The following is a 19,444-nucleotide window of genomic DNA, read 5'->3' as shown; positions in this document are numbered from 1 at the left end:
TTTGGGTTTTTTGCCCCCCCGCTCCTTTTTTTTTTTTTTTTTTCTGAATCCAGTCCCTCCCTTTGGAGGGGCTGAATTTCTTCTTAGCTTGCCTTTCATCAAGTAGATCCATTTGGAGAGGAGAAAGCCATTAGTCCTGTCCCATGATTCCACATAATCTGAATGAGGCCAGGCATTGGTGCCCGCGCCTGTAATCCCAGCACTTTGGGAGGCTGAGGTGGAAGAATTGCTTTAACCCAGGAGTTTGAGACCAGCCTGGGCAACATCGTGGGACCCCACCCTGTCTACAAAAATCAAAATTAGCCAGTTGTGGTGGTGTGCACCTGTGGTCCCAGCTGTCTGGGGAGGCTGAGGCAGGAGGATCCCTTGAGCCTGGGAAGTCATGGCTGCAGTGAGCCATGATTGTGCCACTGCACTCCATCCTGGGTGACAGAGTGAGGCCCTGTCTCCAAAAAAAAAAAAAAATCAGTTACACTACCCAATTGCCTAGTCTTGGAGCCTGATAATTGATGCCTTCTCCCTAACCCCAATCTAATCTGTCACCAGTTTCTGTTTTGCCTCCTATGAATTTATCCTCTTTGCTTTGTTTCCACACATTCTAGTTCAAGTATCTCTCTTGTGGCCCTGCAGTGGGTCTCTTATCTGGTCTCACCCATTCTGGCATCTCTCCTATCTATTCATACTGCAGGCAGAGGAAGCATTTAGAAAAATACACTTCTTATATTACCCACTTAAAATCCTTTGGTGATGTCTTAATCTGGTCAAAGACAGCTGGCTCATAAGGGGAAACTAGGACCAAATCCTTTTTCCTTCAACCAATTAGACCCTCACACAGAAAACTTAAACTTAGCATATATGAGTAAGACAAAAAAACTTCAGATCCAGTGGGGAGGAAAAGCAGATGGCTCCTAGTCCAAGGGACAGAATGGGTCACAGCTCCTAACAGGGCTGACTGCAGCCTTGGGTAGTGGGGGTGTTAGATTGTGGCATACGGGTGGCATATATGGGTCCCTAGTCAAGGACAGAGCAGTGGTTTTATCAAGGGGTATAACCCTTGTATAAGGTGTAACCCGAGTGAGTATCCTATTATGTCAACACGGCTCCAGAAAGTTGTTCAGTCATTTTCATAGTGAGTGCATAAGAGTGACTTTTCTGTACTCTATTATTCAGGTCCACATAACTTACCTGGATCAAGAGGAGACAGGTAGAGACCCCCACGAGTGTGGCAGCGGGTTAGGGAGGGAGGTGGTTCTGGGTGTACCAAGATAGAGCTCCCGTGGAAGAGGAAGGCACGGCCCGTAGTGGCTCTAATCGGGAGAGAAGAGGGAAAGGAGGGACGTCGCTGCCCGAGGGAGTAGTTAATGGAGGAAGCAAGAGGTGCCAGGTACTATTCAAGTAGCTAAGGGGGAAATGACGACTTCTGAGATTGGGTTGTCTAGTAAAGTATGACTTCTTAGTTAAACCTCGAGAGTGGACAAGTGGTAGAGGAAGGGAGGGGTGAAGGCAAAGAACGCTACTCAGTAACGCTCGGTTCAGCAGTGGTGCTGTGGACTGGAAAACAGCTACCGAAGAAAGGCAGGGGATTATTTTTCCTCGTGCATCCCGGCCCAGGAGGCCGCGCCCTTGGGAAAGCGGGTCTCCAGAAGGGCCTAGCTTTCCGTCAGCGGCGGTGCAGACAGAGGACAACACGGCGCGGTAGCTGCACCGCCTCGGCGGAAATCCCGGGCGAAGGGGTGGGGCGGAGCCGGGAAATCCGGGGCTTCCGGCGCGGCCAGGGCCCAACTTCCGGCGTCCGTCGGGCAGCAGCGGGGCTGTCTATCCCGGCTGAGGACCCGCGGCCAGTGCGGGTGGCTGGCTTTGCCATTAGCGGGGGCCTTTCCTGAGGACGGCGTACGGAGTGTGGGTGAGAAGCCGCTGTAGGACTGAAGAGGAAGAAGCGCAATTGGGGCCGGGAGGCTGCAGATTTTGTGACAGGGTTCGGGAACTACTAGTGGCGCCCCCAGGCCGCCCCTCCTCTCGAGCCGGGCCGTGCGCTCTTGCTCTGTGCGCATTCCCTGTTTTCCGCGTCGGAACCGCCCTCTTTGCAGTGGCCCCGCGCGTGCGCATAGCTGGGCGCGAGGCGCGCTGTGGGTCTCTGCGGGGCGGATCGTGAAGCTAGTGTGTCAGTCATTCCTCGAAGCGTGCTCTTGGGCTGTATTTTGGAGCTAGCGTCCCTCCTGGTCAGTTTGGCGTTTTTAAGGCCCTGGTACTTGGTTTAGAACCGAGTGCAGTGACCAGTCTTGAGGCCCCTTCCCAGCCAAGAGATGGGGGGATGGAAGTTGAGTTGGTGCTGAAAGAGTTTGTTGTTGGGGCCTTCCAGCTGTGGACACCGGGATTCATGAGTTAATTCACGATCTTTATTGAACGCCTAAATAACCCAGTGGGAAAGGCAACACAGTCCCTTATGCACAGAGCTTAACAGTTTAGTAGGAGAGGCGCGGGCTGGTAACCAGGACAGTGGTAAATGTAGTAGGACCACAGGTGGCTCCTAGCCTAACTCTGGGAGAAAAGGAGTTGGACCCAGAGGAGGCACGCCAGAGGAAGTGATGGTTATCAGAGACTGAGGGCTAAAGGGATTGGCCAGGAGATGAGGGTGTAGAGGGGCCCGAGTAGTTGCAGACAAAAGTCCCGCAACGAGGGAGGCAAAGTGTAGAGCTCTTGGCCGCCTGCAGTACCATGGAACTTGGGTGCTAGTAGAGACAAATGTGTTGGAGAGGGTAAACCAGGACTCTGTCCACCAGTGTTCATTGTTCAGACTTTATCCAGAGGTCAGCGGGGAGTCACTGGAAGAGTTTTAACTGGGGAGTGGCTGAATAATACCGTCATTTATTGAATGCCTACAGTGGTTCCAGAAAAGTCTGGAACCATATAGGGAAGGAAAGAAAATTTGTACTTCCCAGGGGTTTTAGGAGGCATGTTTTGTAGCGCCCCAATTTCCCAAGGGAAAATTTGTATTAAAATCTCTTGTTGTAAGTATGCAAGTTTTGAATAATATGCCATAATATATATTTAGATGTGTTTTCTCAAATCCTCAAGTTATACTAATGCTTTAGAACTTTGCATCATGTGTATCCTGTGATTTTTGTAGCCCTTGATATATCCATAATGTTCCCTCCTTGCTTCTCTCTCCCAGCCCTCCACATACATAACCCAACCTTTCTCTGAGCGGGACACAATTCACAATTCTTTATAGGTATTACTTTCTTTAATCCTCTTATCAACCATTAGAGTTGTGTTATTATTTCTACATTAGCAATGAAGAAACTGAGGCAAAAAGGTTAAGAAGGTTGCCCAGGTTCACCCAGCTAGTGAGTGGAGATGTATACCCAGGCTATAAATTTATACAACTCCTTTGTTCTTGTCCTTAACCACTGCACTGTTGCATTGTAGGGAATAATTTAGGGCTGGTAATAGGAGATGCAAAGTAGAGAGGACAATTAAGAAGTTGTTTAAATAGTCTAGATGAGAGTTGATTTCCAACTTCAAAAAGGTAGTTTTAAAAACGATGAAGAGAAGTAAGTGGATATAAGACTGTAAAGGAAGTAGAACTGACATAATTTGGTGTCTGGATTGATGGTGCTGCCAACCACTCATAAGGATGGCTGGGAAAGAGCACCTTTGAGGGTGAAAGGACTTGGATTGAGATGCCCCAGTGATATTCAAGCCCAGATGTCCTCTGAAGTATCTGGAAGTTCTCCTCTTGGGATGAGAGAATATGGCTTTTCTTCTTTGCATTGAATATGTACCACTGTCAGTGGTTTATGGCTCTTCTAAGGGGTGTCCCATGTAATTTGTTCCGATTATGGGAGATGGGTATGGACTCAAGATAAACAAAATCAGGCACTACCTTTGAAGCCTTTATAGTTATTTTGAGGGTTATATTAGTATTTTACAATTACATTTTATCAAATACCAGCTTGTAGTTCAGGTAACGAGTATTATACATGTTCAGACAAGGCTTGGTGGCTCATACCTGTAATCCCAGCACTTTGGGAGCCCAAGGCGGATGGATCACTTGAACTCACCAGTTCGAGACCATCCTGGGCAACGTGGTGAAACCCCGTCTCTACTAAAAGTACAAAAATTAGGTGGGCGTGGTGGTGCACACCTGTGGTTCCAGCTACTTGGGAGGCGGAGGTGGGAGGATGGCTTGAGCCGGGGAGGCAGAGGTTGCAGTGAGCTGAGAGATAGTGCCACTGCACTCCAGCCTAGGAGATAGAGTCAGACCTTGTCTCCAAAAAAAAAAAAAAAGAAAGAAAAAACAAAGTTTTGGACAAGAAGAGAGGTCATAGTGATCAAGTGATCAAGTTAGTGGGACTAACTGAAGAAGTAAGTATATTTTGAGGTATGAGTGGGGCACCTCAATTTTATTCTAGGCCTTAGTCAGTCACTCTCAAATATGTGGTGCTCCAGAAGAGCATTTTAGAGTTTAAAAGGTACGTTCTATGGAACTGGTGAGAGCAAAGAATATAGGCTTTTAAAATGTTTTGGTAACATTAAGCCTGTGTGGATGCTTCAGTAAGGATTAAAATGATAAATATGTATTATGACAGTTCCTTGGCTCCAAGTAAATAGTACAGTTCTTACTTTCATTGCTTTTCTGGTCTTGTTCATATTTGTTCTTTAATCACCTTCAGAGGTAACGTTTCTTCTTGAATATTAGATATCTCCCATAAAAGCTGGGTTTTGAGAGAAGCAATTTTAGATTCCTCTGTATATATGAAAAGAAAATGCCTTTTTTTGGTCCATTCTTTTGTAGTGTACTTCAAATAATTTTTTAACTATTACACATCCAAATGGAATCCCTAGGAACGGTCTAGTCTTTTGATGAACAAGCTGTTTTCTGTCTCAGGGAGGTAATAGTTGATGCTCTTGCTTATATAATCCTTCAATTCAAGGTCACAATAAAGATCAGAAATAGAATAACATGTGGACTATTAGAGAAGGTAGGATTTTGCAGTTGAAATTTGATTAACCACAGCTCTTAATATATTTTTTAACCTCTGCAGTCTTCTTTTTCCCTCTTTCATCAGATACATTATGAAAGACAAACAGAATCGGGGATTTACTTAAAATTCAAAATGCCTTGAAGGTGGAGGCTTTTATGCTGAGTGTATAGTAATTGTCTGGACTACTGGACTAATTTAGTTTTTTATAACTATTAAATGTATGAGAAAAAACTGACTAAAATATAAGACTCATTTTTTATTGTGCAATATATCATCTATAGAAGAGTATACAAAACATATATGTTTAAAATGATTATAGTATAATTAAAAGCACCCATATTCTCATTGTCTAGGTTAAGAAGTAGAGTATTGCCAGACCTTAGAGGCTCCCTTTGCGCTCCTCTTGGTTTGCATCTGCTTCCTGTCCTCTGGAGGGTAATCATTATCCCCACTCTTGTGGTAATCATTCCCTTGCTTCTCTTTACAGTTTTATCACCTATGTATGCATCTGTATTTTTGAGTACTATAATATGAAACCATACTGTATATATTCTTTTTTGACTTGCTTTTTTCACCCTCTAGTAGATTTCCGAGAGTTGTGTAAGGTGATGTGTGTGAATGTAAGTTCTTTCTACTGCCATTTTTTTCTGTGTGTAAATATACCACAACTTATTTATCCATTCTGTTGTTGATGGACATTTGTATTGTTTCCATTTTCTGGCTGTTACAAATGGTGCTGCTATAGACGTCTTTGTTCATGTATCATGGTACACTGTGAAAGAATCTCTCAAAGGTATACTTGGAAGTGCCGAACTGCCAGATTGTAGGATATGGTGATGCCAGACTGATTCCAAAATGCTTGTACAAGTATATTCTTTCACTAGCAGCATGTGGGAATTGCTGTTGACAGCCTTTGGTGTTTGCAGACTTAAATTTTGCCCATCTGTAGGTTGGTGCATTGATCTCACTGTGCTTGAAATTTGCATTTTCCTGATTACCAATGAGCTTTGAGTATCTTCATTTATTTGCTGTTCAGATTTGCTCTTTTTTTTTTTTTTTTTTTGAGACACATTCTTGCTCTGTCGCCCAGGCTGAAGTGCAATGGTGTGATCTCGGCCTCACTGCAACCTCTGCCTCCCAGGTTTAAGCGATTCTCCTTCCTCAGCCTCCCGAGTAGCTGGGATTACAGGTGCCTGCCACCATGCCCAGCTAATTTTGGTATTTGTAGAGACAGGGTTTCACCATGTTGACTAGGCTGGTCTTGAATGCCTGACCTAGGGTCATCCACCCGCCTTGGCTTCCCAAACTGCTGAGATTACAGACATGAGCCACTGTGCCCGGCCAGATTTGCTCTTTTGTAAAGGCTACGTTAAGATCTTATGCAGTTTTTCTATTGGGTTGTTCATCTTTTTCTTAATGTTTATACTTTATACTTCCTGGAATCTCGTCTTTTCCCACATGTGTTAGAAAAATAAGTTCTTTTTCTGTATTTTCACTCTCTTTGTGGTGCTTTTGAAATATAGTTGAATTTATCTGTCTTTTCTTCAATGGTTTGTGCTTTTTATGTCTCATTTTAGAAAGCCTTTTCTGTCCTCAAGTCATGAAGATACTCTCCTATCTAAAAGTTTTAGTTTTGCCTTAAACATGTGGTTGTTTAATCTCCTTGGAAAAGAAAATTGTTGTGTATAGTGTGATGTGGGAGTCCAATTTCATTTTTTCTCATGTGGATATTCCATGGTTCCAACACCATATTATTGATCATTTTATTTTTTCTTTACTAATCTGAAACACTACTTCTATCATATATGAATTTTCTACACATATTGGGACCTTTTTCTGTATTTTCTGTTCCATTGATCAGTTCGTCTCCATATGTACTAATACCACACCATTTTAATTAATTACAAGACCTCATTAAGTAAGTCTGGATATTAGGTAAAGCAACGCCTACTTTCTTGTTCTTCTTTGGTCTTGGCCGAAGTGTCTTGGCTATACTTGGCCATTTGTACTGGTGTAAACATTTTAGTATCAGCTTATCAAATTCACAAGACACTTTTTGGGATATTGATTGGAGTTGCATTGAATCTGAGTCTAAATGTTGCTCCTTTGAAAGCAATTTGTCTTTTCCCTTGGCTGCTTTCAAGATCTTCTCTTTGCCATTGGCGTATAGCAAGGGTTTAGATGTGGATTTATTTTCATTTATCTTGCTTAGAATTCGTTGGGCCTTCTGAATTTGCACACTGATAGTCTTTCATGTGTTTTCTCCTCATATTTTTGATCTTGCCTTTTGTTCCTTACACATGTAGGCATTATGATAATTACATTAGAAGAATAAGAAGCCCTTATAGGGCTGCTTATGCAGTCTGTTGTTTGTGTAGGTTCTCCCTTACCATGGCTTGTTTCCTTAGGTTACTTGCTCATCATTCTTATAATTTGATTTCTTTGTGTTGTTTTTTTTTCTTTTTTTCTTTTCTTTTCTTTTTTTTTTTTTTTGAGACAGGGTCTTGCTCTGTTGCTCAAGCTGGAATGCAGTGGTGCTATCATAGCTCTTTGTGGCCTTGAACTCCTGAGCCCAAGCAGTCCCTCCCACCTTAGCCTCCCAAGTAGCTAGGACTACAGGCCCATGCTACCACGCTTGGCTATTTGATTTTATTTATGGGATTTCTTTGCTGTTTGGGCTGAAAACTAGTATTTTGAGGGAGGGTTTATATTTGCTGTAGCCAGGCACCTGCTAGTCAAGGTCACGCTAATTACAATCTTGAAGTTTTTCTGAGGCTTATCTTAGGTAATGTGAATTTGGTCTGCAAATTGGGTCCAGCACTGGTTTATGGTTCCAAATTCTCTGCAGCACTTTATACCTACCACCCCTTTGGGCCATGTTTCAAAGCAGTTGATTTTCTTGTAGTCAACTGAGACAAGGTAGAGAGGGAGTGCCTGGGATAGTTTATTTCTGGCTCACCCTTACAGTGAGGTCTTGGTTTTTAGGTCAGAGGATCTATCTCTTCAGATGGGCTCTGAGTTTATCTTTTATTCCCTGAAGAGGCCCATGGGGAAAAAGATAACTTAAGGTCACATAGTGTGACAGATACGTTTGGAGCCAAAACAGGCCACAGGGTTCTGCTCATCTCCTGAGTTTCTTGCTTTTATTCAGATCTAACAATTCTTTTTTTCCTTGCACCTTGTGGCTTACACACATGCGCATGCGTGCAGACGTGCACACACACATGTGTATAATTTTTTATCTAGTATTGTTAGGCTTTATTTGGAGAGTTAATTTGATTCTTAGCCTGCTATATTATGGAAGCCCAAGTTTAAAGTGAGTTTTAAAAATAAGCATACCAGAGTTTATTCATCAATAAATGTTTACTCTTTCAAAGTAGTCAGGGTAGGAAACGATAAGCTTCTACATTGCTCAAGATCTTTTTGGACTCCTATTTTGGAATTGCTTTCTGAGCTAGTACATGTTCTTTGGGATATTTTTATTGGTTACAATTTGTATGCTTTAAAGATGGATATAATTTTGAAAGTGTCAGAATAAAGCCTGCTGAATGAGATGGGTAGTCAAGGAGAGTAATGCCACTTGGAGTTAAAAATAAAATGGAGCCATTGGTTAATGAGGCTGATTTTCATGTATGGCTCATATGCTAACATTGATGGTAATTCCTAAAGAGAAAAATCCCAAAACGTTTTGAGTAATAGTTATTTGAAATAAACATTTCTTATCATTTCTAGTTACCTTCAGTTAACTGGAAAAATAACTCTACTAGAACACTGCATTATTTCTTAAGCATCATGAGTAGTTGTGTCTTTAGTGTGATGAGGAAATATTAGTAGAATACAAATATATATATATGTGTGTGTTTTAGGGATATAGTCTCACTGTGTTGCCCTGACTGCATGGTCATAGCCCACTGCAGCCCCATACTCCTGGGCTTACGCAATCCCAGTAGCTGAGACTACAGGCACACGCCACCATGCTTGGCTACTTTTTAATTTATTTTTTATAGAGATGGGGGTCTCGCTTTATGGCCCAGGCTGGTCTCGAACTCCTGGATTCAAGCAATCCTCCTACCTCAGCCACCCAAAGTGCTGGGATTACAGGTGCGAGCCACTGTACCTGGCCAACAATCTTCTTTTAAAAGAGAAAAATAGCTTCTTGGACACGTGCTTCTAAATTTTTTCATTAAATTTTTATTCCTGTTGTATATCTAATTTTATACATTATTAATAACATTATTTCCATTAATATAACAGGTTTATTATAAATAATGTGCCAAAGATCTATTTAATATTTGTGTGGTATGTCTGGTATATTCTGTGTAGGGAGGTAAATTCTGTTTCATTTAAGAGTAGTTTGTCAGGCGCATTGAACCTTTAGAAAAAGTTAGAAGGCAAATTTAGTAACAAATCTTTGTTAGTAATTTCTTCATCTGAGCACCATCATTCTCAAGAGAAGGTAATATCTATATAGACATTATCTGGACCTTGGTTTTCCCAACTAAGGTGTAAAACCAGTGTGTGTAGAAAGGGGTGAGGGGTGGTTCGAGAGCAGATAATCGAAGATCCTGTGTAGCTGTAATGTTTTTTTTGTTCATTACTTAAATATTTATGGTCTGTTCTCTTATTCTTATATAATCACATGTATTTTCCTCATTATTTTTCTTTCTCCTCAAAGCCCACTTTTGCCCTCACACTTCTAAATAGAAGCATATACAAGTTTTTTCTTTATGAGAACGTATGTACTCACATTCTGTGACCATATGGGGCATAATGTTATGTGTATGTCTCTGTAAGTGGAATTAAGGGTGTTTAGCTTGCTGGTTTTAGGGTTTTTTGGGGTTTTTTTGCCACTCTTCTCCAGTAGGAATCTCCTCCCCTAGCACAGGGTCAATAAACTTTTTCTGTAAAGGGCCAGATAGTAAGGCTTTGCAGGCCAAAAAGTAAAATTGAGAATATTAGGTAGATATCTAGTTAACAGGAAAGAAAATTTTTTTCTACAAACTTTTTTTTTTTTATGAAATGAAAAACATTTATTTATGGAACTAAAACTTTAATTTCATATTATTTTAAGGTATCACAAAATATTATTCTTTTGATTTCTTTCCCAATCATCTAAAAATCTGTACTAGTTCATTCTCACGCTGCTGTAAGGACATACCCAAGACTGCGTAATTTATACAGGAAAGATGTTTAATGGACTCACAATTCCACATTGCTGGGGAGGCCTCACAATCATGGCATAAGGCAAAGGAGTAACAAAGGCATGTCTTACATGCTGGCAGGCAAGAGAGCATGTGTGGGGAACTGCTCTTTATTAAACCATCAAATCTTGGGAGATTTTCTCACTATCACTAGAACACCATGGGAGAACCCACCCCCATGATTCAATTACCTCCCATTGGGTCCCTCCCACGACACGTGGGAATTATGGGAGCTACGATTCAAGATGAGATTCGAGTGGGAACACAGCCAAACCATATCAAAATGTAATCAATTATCAGCTTACAGGAAAAGACAAGATGAGTCTGGAGCATCATGTAGTTCCAAAAGCAAAGAAGTGCTCAAAAAACAAAAGGATGGAGGCACAGGAGCCAACCTGAGAGAGCTCTCAATGGCCAAAGCTAAAACAATTTTAGCAACAAACTAAATGACATAGTATTAGCTTATGGCACAAAGAATAGAATAAATATCTGTGAGCCCATACTGATTACATAAAATAAATGATTGAGTAAATCAATGGAGAACAAGTCTTTCTCACAGAAGAATTTGAAATAATATATGAGGACACTCCTGTTTTTAGAAGGTGGAGTTTAGTTCCTCCCTACCCTCTTTAATGACTCAGCCCCAAAGAATAAAATGTGAAAGGGAAAAATACTGAATGTGGAAAAACCTGGCAAATATCATAATTTATTAAACTAGCCTTCTGTTGATGGTCATTTAGGTTGTTTCTTATCTTTTAGTATTTGAATCTAGCAGTAAGTAAAAAAAGATAATATATCAGGACTGCATTGGATTTGTGCAAGATTGTCTTAACATTAATTGACCCCATTGACAGCTTAAGGGGAAAAAATGTGATCATCTCATTGGATACAGAAAAAGTAGTAGGTAAAATCCAATAGCCATTTATGACAAAAATTTTTAGCAAACTGGGAATAGAAGGGAACTTTCTTAAATGGCTGAAATATCAGCAGAGTTCTACAGTAAGTTTACTTAATGTTTAAATACTAAAAGCATTCCTTTCAAGAACAGAATAAGGATGCATGCTATCACTACTTCTATTCAATTATGGAGTTCCTAACTAGAATAATAAAACAGAAAATAAGAAAAATAGAAAAAATTATCACTTGTGGTTGGTAATTATTGTCTACATAGAAAATTCTCTATGTAGACAATAATTTTCTATGTAGATAATAACTACCAACTACAAGTGACAATTTTGTTTCTATTTTTCTTATTTTAGAATTAAGAAAGTTTGGGGCCAGGTGTAGTGGCTCACACCTGTAATCTCAGCACTTTGGAAGGCCAAGGTGGGAGGATCACTTGAGCTTAGGAGTTGGAGACCAGCCTGAGAGACATAGGAAGACCCCATCTTTACAGAAAAAATAAATTAGCCAGGCGTGGTGGTGCACACCTGTGGAAACAGCTACTTGGGAGGCCGATGTGAGAGGATTGCTTGAGCATGGGCAGTCGAGGCTGCAGTGAGCTGTGATCATGCAACTGCACTCCAGCCTGGGTGACAGAACAAGGCCCTGTCTCAAAAAAAAAGAGTTTGGAATGGTTAAAGGATATAAGACAAAAACAACAATAACAACAAAAAATGTATTTTAATACACCAACACCAAACTGTTAGAAAAGTAATTTAAAATAATTTAATATAGCAATGATAGAGTTGTGTCTACAAATATATGCAAGCCATTTATGTAGATATTTATAAAACTAAAAAAATTATGTGAATGGAGAGATACAGTATGTTGATGGATAGGATGGCAATATAATAATGATCTTAGTTGTCCTGATATTGCTCTGTAGATTAAATGTAGTTCTAGTCAGAATCCCAAAAGGTGGATCTTGGTTTTGCTTTTGGTAGAATATAAAAGGCACCAACGTGGCTGAATCTCAGAAATACAATGTTGAGCAAAATAAATCACGAAAATTGTGAAAGAATGTGTACATTGTGATTTCATTTTTGTAACATTCTAAAATGGTAAAACTAAGCAATTGGTAAAAAATATGAAGAAAAGAAAGAAAATTATTATCACAAATTAATTGTACCAGTTACTTCCAGGAAATTTAACTGACCAGGTTCTTACAGGAGGCTTCAGCAATATTGCCATTAGTTCTGTTCTTAAGTTGGGGATGAGGTAGATACATGGAATTTCATTTTGTATAACTATTACCATTCTGGAAGAAAACATTCAAACTGTTTTTCATCTGCTGTCACACTAACACAACAACAGTCAATACAGAAGACTTCTGTGACCCCAAAATATGTGGAGGTTTTTCCCCATCAGCAAGCAAGCAATCAGTTCTGCAGCAGATACCAGTTGGTTGTCCTCCAATTCAGTTCCAACACTGTCTACCTGGAGATAGTGTCAGATCCCACAGGTTGAGGGCTTAGTCTCCAAGACTGCCTCCTCCATTTTCAGACACCAGTCACGAGTCCTGACCTGTGGAACTTCTTACTGACTGGCTTCAGGTTGAGGTTTTCACATGTCCCACTTTGGGTTTGATTAGTTTACTAGCACAGCTCACCAAATTCAGGGAAACACTTACTTACATTTATCAATGTACTACAAAGGATTTTTTTTTTTTTTTTTTTTTTTTTTTTGAGACAGAGTCTCGCTCTGTCACCCAGGCTGGAGTGCAGTGGCACGATCTTGGCTCACTGCAAGCTCCGCCTCCCAGGTTCACACCATTCTCCTGCCTCAGCCTCCTGAGTAGCTGGGACTACACGCGCCGCCACCACGCCCAGCTAATTTTTTTTTTTTTGTATTTTTTAGTAGAGATGGGGTTTCACCATGTTAGCCAGGATGGTCTCGATCTCCTGACCTCGTGATCCACCCACCTCAGCCTCCCAAAGTGCTGGGATTACAGGCGTGAGCCACCGTGCCCGGCCAACAAAGGATTTTTTTGAAGGATACAAATTAACAGCCAAATGAAGAGATACATAGGGCAAGGTCTGGAAGAGTCCCCAGTGAGAGCTTCTGTCCCCATGGAGTTAGGGTGTGCCACCCTCACAGCATGTGGGTGCATTCTTGTTCACCCTCCTATCAGCCTCCATGTGATCAGCTCCCCAAAAGCCCCCATGGAGCCCTATCAATGGAGACTTCATTGGATAGGTATGATTGAAGTATGCGCAACTGTGTCAAAATGTGATTGAATGTAAAGGGTATGATCTAAACCCAGTAAGGCCTGTTTAGATTGTTCTTGACCCCTGTGCAGCATTCCTTCCTCCAGGATATGAGACAGAACCTCTCTGGAATGAGGGTCTTTTGACCCACAATCAGATGAGAGTTCTGCCTTGGGCAGATGAAAGGTGGGCAGGAGAAAGTCAGAGAGATTCTGTTTACTTCAACAAAGGCTATGGGAGTTATGAGCCAGGAATCGTGGAAAAAATCATTTTGTATATTTATATATCACACTGTTATTAGGTATGAAAACATCCTTCTTTCGCCCACTTTGATAAGAAATCTCCTATTAACTTATTTTTCTCAAACTTTTTATGTTGAAAGTTTGTAATAGTGCAGTAAAAACCATATATTCTTCACCTGAAGTCACTAATTGTTAATTCTTGCTCCATTGGCTTTATATTACTCTCATGCATTGCATTTAGATGCCATGTCTCTTCAGACTCCTTTAATTTGATACAGTTCCTCACCCAGCCAATTGTTTTGTACAATTTTCTTTAGTTCGAATTGCCTGACTTTTTCCTTATGCTTCAACTTGGGTTGAACATTTAAGTAGGAATCCTGCACAGGTGATGTTGTCTCTCTCAGGAAGCACATGATGTTGGTTTGTCCCATTACTAATGGTGTTAATTTGATCATTTGATTTAAGGTGTATCTGGCAGGTTTTTCCACTGTAAAGGAATCTTTTTTTTTTTTTTTTTTTTTTTTTTTTTGCGACAGAATCTCACACTATCGCCCAGGCTGGAGTGCAGTGGTGCGATCTCGGCTCACTGCAACCTCCACTTCCCGGGTTCAAGTGATTCTCCTGCCTCATTCTCAGCCTCCCTAGTAGCTGGGATTACAGGCAACTGCCACCATGCCCAGCTAATTTTTGTATTTTTAGTAGAGATGCAGAGACGCGGTTTTACCACGCTGGTCTCGAACTCCTGACCTCAAGTGATCCGCCCGCGTCGGCCTTCCCAAAAGTGCTAAGCCACTGCACCCAGCCCTGTTCTTCTTTTTTTTTTTTCCAACAGGAAGTTTATTTAAACACCAAGATGCTTGACTTGAAGGGAAAAATAGGATTTTTTTTTTTGAGTAATTTATCCCTGCTTAAAGACAGATTGCCCTATACGTAACAGCTACGCAGAAAAAGTTATAAAATTGTCTTTGGTTTTACATTGATAAATGAAAAACATTAAAATTCTCCAATTGAACAAGATATGCAGGGATTTTTATGGGGTTTTTGTTGTTGTTGTTGTTAAAACAGAGCAAAATAACTTACTGAAATGTAAAGATAGCTGAATGAACATGCCACTAATGGAGAAAGGGTATTTTCACAGAATCAGTATTTTTCCCCATCCCATCTCCACTTGATGTCAATCAGAACATACCATTGGCTATTTAGTTAAAAAAATGAAATATGCTTGTGCACATATACCAGTTACTTTGTGTACTGTAAAGGAATGGGGAAAGAGGAAAGGAAAGAATAGAGAAAACTAGTCATCAGGATGTGGTGGAATCAAATCGCCATTTTCTGATTGAGAATGTAAGCTTGGTCTGTAAGAACAGAATTCTGGAGTAAAGAAGCAGGTTCCCTTTTCGCTAGACACCTCGTCTGCTACTGGAACACATCCATTGTATCTTCAGCCTCCATTTCCAAATGTGCAGGTATGTCTGTTTCAGTGATTGATTGCCCATCAAATTGGAATCTCATCTGCCTCATTGACAATCCCTGTCATTCACAATAGTCTTTCATTAGTTTACCAAGTGGTGTATGCCTCTTAATCTTAAACTGCACCACAGAACCATTCTGCCCTGCCACCTTCAAGTTAATATGATCGTTGTTCTCAGTTTTGACTTCTTCCTTGGGCTTTTTGTTGGCCATGGTGACTGCCAGAGTCTCCTCAGCTGCCACTTCACAAAAGAGGTACCATGTCTGCACCAAGAGTGGCAAAAAGGAGGAGGTGGCAGTGGTGGACGAGGGAGAGCCACATATTCTGTTTCAGGTTACAGCAGCAAAGAAGGGCGATGAGAATATTTGCATTATACATAACCAAAGATGAAGAAGACTCTGCTAATGATTTAGTCCTTTCATCCACCCATTCTTTGGAGTACATTATTCTCAGGTTTAAAAATAAAATAAATGAATGAATTGTTCACCAGAGTTCTTTTTAAAAACCTGAAAGTAAATAGTGATACCTCTGTAAGCGTTTTGCTTCCTATAGTTTTAATTCAAGTGTTTTTTTTTTTTAAAAAAAAACCTAAGTATTGTAAAAGGTTTATGGATCAAATTTTGGATTTGTAATTTTTAAAACCAGTTTTCTCCAAAATGGAAGCAGCTTAACACTAAGCAGGATCTTTCTGGATATGAGTGATATTTTTGAATACTTACCAGTTTTTAATTGTCCATTGTTTCCTAAACTGTATTTTTAATTTCATTTGCTCTCTCCTAGGGAATGAAGGATGGCAGCATGCCGTGCATTAAAAGCTGTTTTGGTAGATCTCAGTGGCACACTTCACATTGAAGATGCAGCTGTGCCAGGCGCACAGGAAGCTCTTAAAAGGCAAGCTATCCTCCAGGTTCAGCTGACAAATATGTTTGTAAGTGCCATTTTACCACGGCAGATCATTAGCTAAATGGATGGCCTTAAGATGGCATTTTACCATCTTAACCATATATAGGAACTGCCTTGGGTTTAGCTAGAAGATGTATGCATTACAATTTCTTCCAAACATTGTTTTCTAAGCCTTTATTAGGTTTGGCCTTTTGATCCAGTCTTTTTGTTCTATATGTATGTCATTTTCTAAGTCAGTAATATAAATGTTGGAATGACAACTCAAGAGTCTACAATGTGGAATAAATATCATTGGAAAAAATCACAAATGAATCCTGGAATCACAAAATAAAACACACACAGACAGGCATAATGCTGCTCTTTCTTGTTTTACCTAGGATCTAACATCGATTGTGCAACTGCTCAAATAAAGTTTAGCTAAAGAACTTGAAATTTTTGTGTTATTTCCATCAACTAAACACTTTTAAAGGCTAAGGACTGTCTTATATTTCTCATGTACCAACCACAATACTAAACAGAAGTCTGGATACAAATGAGACACCTAGTAAAAGTATGTTAAAGTAAGCGGAATGTGAATGTTTGCTTCTGGGTGTCCTGAAAAAAAAATCAACTAATCACAACAGAACCAATAACATATATTAAGGATCTTTATCCTAAAATAATTTAGAGAAGTTTTCAAAATCAGCAATACTTAGTATGTGGTACATGTTTTCCAACCTTAAAATGTTCATAGTATGGTGTTAATCAGAAAATCTAGTGACTCATAGGCCAGGCGCGGTGGCTCACGCCTGTAATCCCAGCACTTTGGGAGGCCGAGGCGGGTGGATCACCTGAGGTCGGGAGTTCGAGACCAGCCTGACCGACATGGAGAAACACCGTCTCTACTAAAAATACAAAATTAGCCGGGCATGGTGGCACATGCCTATAATCCCAGCTACTAGGGAGGCTGAGGCAGGAGAATCACTTGAACCTGGGAGGCGGAGGTTGCGGTGCGCTGAGATCGTGCCATTGCACTCCAGCCTGGGCAACAAGAGTGAAACTCCGTCTCAAAAAAAAAAAAAAAAAAAAGAAAAAATCTAGTGACTCATATCACAGTGCCAGGTATTAGGGCAAAAGATTGACACAAACCTCACTTTCTTTCAAGGAGCTTACCTTTCATTTGGGGAATCAAGAAATACATACTTATATATCTGGCAGGCATCAGTTGGGAGTTACCAATTTAGTTAGGAGTCATGATGTTCATTTTATAGGTGGAGAAGCAGTGGACAACATGTTGTTTAAAGTAAAAAAAAAATCTGTTGCACGGTTGGACTTTATCTTGACTCCTTAATAGGGGAATGGATGTCTGTTAATCAGTGTGCTCTTGTTGGACAGAGCTTTTACTGCTTTACAGATGAGCTTTCTACTGTAGATTGAAAGAAAAATCTTTTTACATCTGGTGAACAATGACATCTCTAAGTAGCTATGTAAACTGTAAACCTGCCATTCTGGAGGGGCAAGAGGCTACACATTGTCATGTTGCTGGCCATAAAAACATTTGGCACAGTTTTAACAAATTAGGAGATTTTATAGGGCCAGAATGTAAAAGCTGCCTTTTGACTTCTGAATTTGGCCCTCTCCAGGTTACGTGGTGCTTCTGTAATCATTAGGTTTGTGACCAATACAACCAAAGAGAGCAAGCAAGACCTGTTAGAAAGGTTGAGAAAATTGGAATTTGATATCTCTGAAGATGAAATATTCACATCTCTGACTGCAGCCAGAAGTTTACTAGAGCGGAAACAAGTCAGACCCATGCTGCTAGTTGATGATCGGGCACTACCTGATTTCAAAGGTAGGGGAAATTTGGAAAATTTAAAGATTGGATATTTATATGTACTTACAAATCATTTTTAAAACTGGATGTTTAGAGATGTTTATTCTGATTTCCCCGTTTTTCTTGAAATATTTGATAATACTGATATTTTGAATCTAAATTGGCATTTCCCAAACCTTTTTTTGACTGTAATCCACAGTAAGTGAAACACATTACATAGTAACCTAATACATATCTATATGTGTGTCTTTATGTAAGTTAAGCAATACTTACTCTTGCTGTATAACATGCATTCTATTTTCTTTTTGGTTTGATTGTTTGATTATGATGCTGTTTAGAGCCCTCCAAATTAGTTTTACAGTCTAATAATAGATCACGACCCGTGGTTTGAAAAAACACAGATCATAAAACCATAAAAACCCTAGAAGAAAACCTAGGCAATACCATTCAGGACATAGGCATGGTCAAGGACTTCATGTGTAAAACACCAAAAGCAATGGCAGCAAAAGCCAAAATTGACAAATGGGATCTCATTAAACTAAAGAGCTTCTGCACAGCAAAAGAAACTACCATCAGAGTGAACAGGCAACCTACAGAATGGGAGAAAATTTTTGCAATCTGCTCATCTGACAAAAGGCTAATATCCAGAATCTACAAAGAACTCAAACAAATTTACAAGAAAAAAACAACCCCATCAAAAAGTGGGCGGAGGATATGAACAGACACTTCTCAAAAGGAGACATTTATGCAGTCAAAAGACACATGAAAAAATGCTCATCATCACTGGCCATCAGAGAAATGCAAATCAAAACCACAATGAGATATCATCTCACACCAGTTAGAATGGCGATCATTAAAAAGACAGGAAACAACAGATGCTGGAGAGAATGTGGAGAAATAGAAACACTTTTACACTGTTGTTGGGACTGTAAACTAGTTCACCATTGTGGAAGACAGTGTGGCGATTCCTCAAGGATCTAGAACTAGAAATACCATTTGACCCAGCCATCCCATTAAAGGACTATAAATCATGCTGCTATAAAGACACATGCACACATATGTTTACTGTGGCACTATTCACAATAGCAAAGACTTGGAACCAACCCAAATGTCCATCAATGATAGACTGGATTAAGAAAATGTGGCACATATACAGCATGGAATACTATGCATCCATAAAAAAGGATGAGTTCATGTCCTTTGTAGGGACATGGATGAAGCTGGAAACCACCATTCTCAGCAAACTATTGCAAGGACAGAAAACCAAACACTGCATGTTCTCACTCATAGGTGGGAATTGAACAATGAGAACACATGGACACAGGAAGGGGAACATCACACACTGGGGCCTGTTGTGGGGTGGGGGGAGTGGGGAGGGATAGCGTTAGGAGATATACCTAATGTAAATGACGAGTTAATGGGTGCAGCACACCAACATGGCACATGTATACATATGTAACAAACCTGCATGTTGAGCACATGTACCCTAGAACTTAAAGTATAATAATGGAAATAAAAAAACGAACACAGGTCAAAATTACTTTGAGTATTATAAGCTAATCCTCAATGCAGGCACCACTAAATTAACTTGATTAAATGAGATACACCAGGACCTCTTTGTTTAAAGTAGATGTTATTCTGGATAGTGTGAAGTTTTTACATTGAACATGAAATATT

General features: G+C 40.2%; 1 protein-coding gene and 1 pseudogene across 7 annotated transcripts in view, besides 2 other annotated features; one reads left to right on the top strand and one right to left on the bottom strand.

Annotated features, from left to right (window-relative positions):
- The first annotated feature begins 1,780 nt into the window (after positions 1 to 1,780).
- Positions 1,781 to 19,444, top strand: part of HDHD2 (haloacid dehalogenase like hydrolase domain containing 2) — a 43,091-nt gene continuing 25,427 nt past the window's right edge. For 2 of the 7 annotated variants that reach the window (XM_011526227.3, XM_024451272.2), the window contains exons 1-4: positions 1,781 to 1,903; positions 14,985 to 15,046; positions 15,832 to 15,942; positions 17,577 to 17,785. In XM_011526227.3, the coding sequence (XP_011524529.1) occupies positions 15,842 to 15,942; positions 17,577 to 17,785 (310 nt within the window). In that variant the 5' untranslated portion in view covers positions 1,781 to 1,903; positions 14,985 to 15,046; positions 15,832 to 15,841. Of the gene's footprint in view, positions 1,904 to 3,172; positions 3,233 to 14,947; positions 15,047 to 15,831; positions 15,980 to 17,576; positions 17,786 to 19,444 lie in introns of all 7 variants that reach the window. The other 5 variants (NM_032124.5, XM_005258371.5, XM_017026039.2 and 2 more) reach the window with 4 other exon arrangements.
- Positions 2,313 to 2,372: an enhancer, noted in NCBI's record as "active region_13284". NCBI's record gives its function as "activates an Ori minimal core promoter by ATAC-STARR-seq in GM12878 lymphoblastoid cells {active_cell/tissue: GM12878}" and the evidence as "EXISTENCE:reporter gene assay evidence [ECO:0000049][PMID:35858748]".
- Positions 12,482 to 12,981: an enhancer, noted in NCBI's record as "H3K4me1 hESC enhancer chr18:44665671-44666170 (GRCh37/hg19 assembly coordinates)". NCBI's record gives its function as "activates a minimal SCP1, AML or CMV promoter by ChIP-STARR-seq in naive H9 embryonic stem cells {active_cell/tissue: H9 hESC(naive)}" and the evidence as "EXISTENCE:reporter gene assay evidence [ECO:0000049][PMID:30033119]".
- LOC107985131 (small ubiquitin-related modifier 2-like) lies at positions 14,997 to 15,366 on the bottom strand (annotated as a pseudogene).

This window comes from Homo sapiens, chromosome 18, assembly GCF_000001405.40.
Source record: "Homo sapiens chromosome 18, GRCh38.p14 Primary Assembly".
NCBI classification, from domain to species: Eukaryota; Metazoa; Chordata; class Mammalia; order Primates; family Hominidae; genus Homo; species Homo sapiens.
The sequence above is the reverse complement of the archived record's forward strand: the minus strand, read 5'-3'. Positions and strand labels throughout refer to the sequence as shown.